Source organism: Homo sapiens, chromosome 1, assembly GCF_000001405.40.
Source record: "Homo sapiens chromosome 1, GRCh38.p14 Primary Assembly".
NCBI lineage: Eukaryota > Metazoa > Chordata > Mammalia > Primates > Hominidae > Homo > Homo sapiens.
The window spans coordinates 43,054,174-43,059,213 of record NC_000001.11 but is presented as its reverse complement, the minus strand read 5'-3'; the positions used below and the strand labels follow the sequence as shown (position 1 = coordinate 43,059,213).

Below are 5,040 nucleotides of genomic sequence, written 5' to 3'. Positions count from 1 at the left end.
GGCAGCAGTCATTGTCCCTAACTCACAAATGATGAACCAAGATACAGACAGTCACACAGCTAACACATGGGAGACCTGGCGAAGGAGGTTAGACAGTCTGACTCCAGTTTACTCTCTCCACCCCCAGGCTATGCTACCTTTTGTGAAGCAGAACTGGGCAGGGTAGACCTTTTGTGAAGCAGAACTGGGCAGCCATTTGGATTGGGTTTGGGTGGGGGTAGGGTAGCTAGATCCCTTGATATTTGGGGAGCTGGCTCCCTGCCAGCCAAATGGCAGCCCATTGAGAATGAGATCGAGGACATACAGAGTCAGTTACTGGTCCTGCTGGGGCCCCATAGTCTGCCTGCCCTCTCCTCCAAAGGGCCCCTAAGCCTGGGGAGATGGGAGAGGCTGCCTCTCCCCCTTTCCCAGCCAGAGCGGTATGAGCTAATCCTGGGAGAAGACACATTAGTCGAAAAGAATCAGTTCCTGCCTGCTCTGCTGAGTCAGCAGGAAGTACAGCCCTGGCTCTGCCAGCTACGTGAGCCCCTGCACGCCGGCCACCACTGCCTCCCTGCCGCCCCAGCCCCAGCCCCAGCGCGGCCCCTGCCATCCATCAGCACACCCTCACGTGCCTCGTTCCTGCTGACCTGCCCCTAAAGCACCCTCCAGCTCAGCAATCCTGAGCCTCCCTCTCTGTCCACTTTCCCAGCAACAGACCTGTTTTTCAGCACCATCCCCACAGACCCCCAGAAAGCAGCCATCTCTGCCTGCACAGAGAATTAAACCTCACCAGGATTGCAGCAGGTGGAAAGAAGGGCTTTTGGAGAATGTGGTGAGCCTTTTTCCCCACGTCCAGCATGCTGTCAGCTCCAGAGAAGAGAGCTTGCAGTCGACTCACGGTATCTAAGGGTATCATTGCCAGAACCCGTACCGCTCTCCGTGTAATCCCCAACCTCCTGGTCATCATCTCGGCCTCTACCACCGCTACCACCACCGACTTCCCACCACCCTCCCTACTACTGCCATTATCGCTGGGAACACCACCTCTGCTGCCACTACCATCAGCCATGACTGCAAGACTACCATCAAGTTCACCATCACACTAGCACCCATGCGACTAGCACTTCCATCAATGTCACCTACTGAGACAGGCAGGTGTCACCAATACCATTAAAAACATTACTGTAACTAACACCAACACCAATACCACCATTATCACCAACACGAAGCATCATTAAAATCATTTTGACCAACAACACCTCCTTATACCAACCCCACTATAAACATTGACATAATTGTCATTTTACCATCAAAACTATAACCATTCCTTGCAACACCAACATCGTCACCCTATCTTTACCACTGTTACCCATATCGACATCATTGTGCCCCCACCATCACCATTACCACTACCGTAAGCAAGACACCACCATCATTGTCACACTACCCACCACCACCATCCTTACCATAACTGCAGTCAGCATCACCACTAAACATCACCATCAGTATCACTACCACCACAGTTATAACCGACACCAGTGTCACCATAACCACAACCAACACCACCATCACTATAACCACGATATACTTGTCACCAGTACCCCCACCACCATGAACACACCATCACCCCCAACACGGTCACCATGACCGTAGCTCTCCATTAGAATGAGAAACTGTTGCTGTTTATCTGTACCCGTTTCTATGCCAGGCCGAATGTCACAACAGTGAGAGAAAAAAGGAAAGTTCTAACTTATTGTTCTGATCATACAATGATATGCACACTTGCTTTCCCTTAATATCCCCCTTTGAACAGACATGATTGTTTCGCTAAATTGGTTCATTTAGTGATTCATAGAGGAACAGCCATGCCTGCCTGAAAAACACGGGAGTGGTCATGGGACTCATCCCCTACTGCCTGTGACATCAGTAAGCCCAGCTCCCAACACACCCTTCTCCCTCCCACCTCCCTCCAGACATTCCAGGCCACTGCAGATTTCTCTGCCCCTCCAATGTAGATTTTCTTCCCTTTGCTCTCTTAATTTTAAACTTCCCGTAGGGCAGAACAGCATGTGGAAAGAACCCATGCTTCTTCCAAGATGTGTTGCATGCTGTTTTATGACAGGGAATTGAACTGTTTCCCAGAGAACTCTGCAAACAAGTGTTTAGAACACGCCTTTGAAGGATGTTTCTTATCCTCGTGTCTATGACTTATTGTGAGGGGATTGCATGTACATGTTTAAAAGCTGACAGTCAGAGCCATGCATTCTAGACTTGGTCCTACAACTAACTGTATGTGTGGCCTTGAAAAGCTTGCTTATTTTTCCCCCACCAAGAAAAGTACGACCTTCTGACTCTGGTGCTCTAAAGACTTTTTTGAGCTGAGACACTCCTAGGATAGGTCTGAGTGCTTTTTCCAGAAGGTCCTTTTGAATGGTAAAACAGAATGTCAAGTCTGATTGGTTCCCCCATCCCATCAGACTTGGTTCCCCTGGCCAGCATGTCCTGGGATCTCTAAGGACATCTCCATGAGCCCTGAGATGATCCTGCCTGGGCAGGGTGGGGCCCAAAGGGTTAATTAAGCCAGTCAGAGCTGTGCGTGAGCAAGTGTCTCAGATGAAAGGTTGGTCCGAGAGAGAACGCCATGTGGCTGTTGTGGTTGGCAGGTCTGGGGCAGTGGGACCAGGCTAGGTCCCGAAGGAAACCACCTCCTGGTCTCACCAGAACAAAGTGGTGTTTTGCAAAAACGCCATTGTTCTTGGGCAAGTCTTTCCCATCTCAACATAAACCAGGAAGCAGTGCTTCCTTTCCTTGGGCGAGACCCCAAGGTCCCCCCCACCGTTGGGAGTGGGGGGAGAAGAACAGACTTTTTCCTGACTTGAATGATCTTCTGCAAAGCTCAGCTGAAGAGCAGCAGCCCCTACCTGGCTATATCCAAGGGGGTGTGTGTGTCTTCCCTACACAGGGAGAAAGAAACAGAGGGGGGTCACCGAGTCCTGTTTCCTGTCTCCAAACAGGACTCTGTACCTAAGCCAGACTGTGAGCGACATGTCACTGCCCATCCATCTCCCCTCACCACTGTGCCACTCAGGCTTTCTCTGTTGCCCAAGCATGGCGGTTGTGTTTCTGCCTATAGCCTGTGTGTGGCTGCTCCCTCTGCCTGGAACTCCCTTCTGCCCTTCACATGTGGGCTCCTTCTCATCATCGTGGTCTCTCTCCTAACTCAGTGAAGTACTGTTTAATTCCTTGTTCAGTGTCTGTCCTTCCTGACATTCTGTGAGCTCCCCAAGAGCAAGGGCCAGGACCTGGGTCAGCGCTGCTCATTGCTGCATCTCCAGCACCTGGCACAGGACAGCCTCCCATGCGTGTGACTGTACCTGCGTGTGCTCCCCACCCCACTCCCAACCCCACTCCCCCTAAAGAAAACAGATCCAGGCTGGGCGGGGTGGCTTACACTTGTAATCCCAGCACTTTGGGAGGCCAAGGCGGGTGGATCACGAGAGGTCAGGAGTTCGAGACCAGCCTGGCCAACATGATGAAACCCTGTCTCTACTAAAAATACAAAAATTAGTCAGGTGTGGTGGTGCGCACCTGTAATCCCAGAGACTTGGGAGGCTGAGGCAGGAGAATCCCTTGAACCCGGGAGGCGGAGGTTTCAGTGAGCGGAGATTTTGCCACTGCACTTCAACCTGGGCAACAGAGCGAGACTCCGTCTCAAAAAAAAAAAAAAAAAAAACAAGAAGGAAAGAAATCAGATTCAGCCTCAAAGGCAAGGAAGCCATTTCCCTTGTCAACCCTAGAAGACCAGAGCAGTCTCAGACCTTCAGAGCATCCCATCCAACCACTCCATTTTCCTGAAGGGGAAACTGAGGCTTAGAACCAGAAAGGTTCTGGTCCAAGCCCCATGGGTGGTCAATGGAAAAGCTGAGCTCGACTCTGGGACTCCTGGTGCCAGTGCTGCTGGACAAGGCCTGTCACCTAGTTTCCAAGCTTAGGCACAGCCTTGCTCTAAATCTCTCACCTCTTCAGATACAAGACCCGGCACATTCAGGCTCCCACCACTTAGGAAATTCCAGCATTCACCCAACCCACTTCCCAGAGAACTGACTCACTGTAGACCCAAGGAGAGAAATTCCTCCCATGGCTTTGCCTAGCTGAGGAGATCAGAGTCCCTTCTTACCATCATCTCAGTGCTTCCCATTGATCACTTTTTCCTATCCCTTAGATACTAAGAGGGGCATCCTTATGGGCCAAGGAAGCCATAGGTACAGGTTTCTATCCCTTTAAGCTCCTTTTTTTTTCCTTTTGTATAGTCAGCACGTCTACCTTTGTTTCTACAACTTTTGCTTAAGTCAGGAAGGCTCATTCGCTTAAATATTTGTGGATGAATAAATGGAGAAGGGCCGGGCGTGGTGGCTCACGCCTGTAATCCCAGCCTTTTGGGAGGCTAAGGCAGGTGGATTACATGAGGTCGGGAGTTCGAGACTAGCCTGACCAACATGGAGAAACCCTGTCTCTACTAAAAATACGAAATTAGCGGGTGTGGTGGCACATGCCTGTAATCCCAGCTACTCAGGAGGCTGAGGCAGGAGAATCACTTGAACCTGGAAGGCGGAGGTTGCGGTGAGCCAAGATTGTGCAACTGTACTCCAGCCTGGGCAATAAGAGTGAAACTCTGTCTCAATAAATAAATAAATAAATAAATAAATAAATAAATAAATATGGAGAAGGGGTGGTAATACCTCCTCATGGGGGCTGCTGGGAGGATTACACGAGACAGCACCCCTAGTGCAAGTAGATGCTGGATCAATGCCAGATCCCTTTGAAAAGTGTAAAGTGCTCCGCATATATGAGATACCATTACATTCCAAGCAACGGGTGTTTACAGATTGCTTCATTTACAAATGGGTTTTTAGGGATTCTGTGGAAAGAAGGTGAAGCCTCTTTTAAGAATTGTTTCCTGGTCAGGCGTGGTGGCTCACACCTGTAATCCCCGCACTTTGGGAGGCTGAGGTGGGTGGATCACAAGGCCAGGAGATCAAGACCAGCCTGGCCAATATG

The 5,040-nt window shown here is 50.3% G+C and overlaps 1 annotated feature.

The window, feature by feature from the left end:
- Positions 547 to 1,082: an enhancer, noted in NCBI's record as "H3K4me1 hESC enhancer chr1:43523803-43524338 (GRCh37/hg19 assembly coordinates)". NCBI's record gives its function as "activates a minimal SCP1, AML or CMV promoter by ChIP-STARR-seq in primed H9 embryonic stem cells {active_cell/tissue: H9 hESC(primed)}" and the evidence as "EXISTENCE:reporter gene assay evidence [ECO:0000049][PMID:30033119]".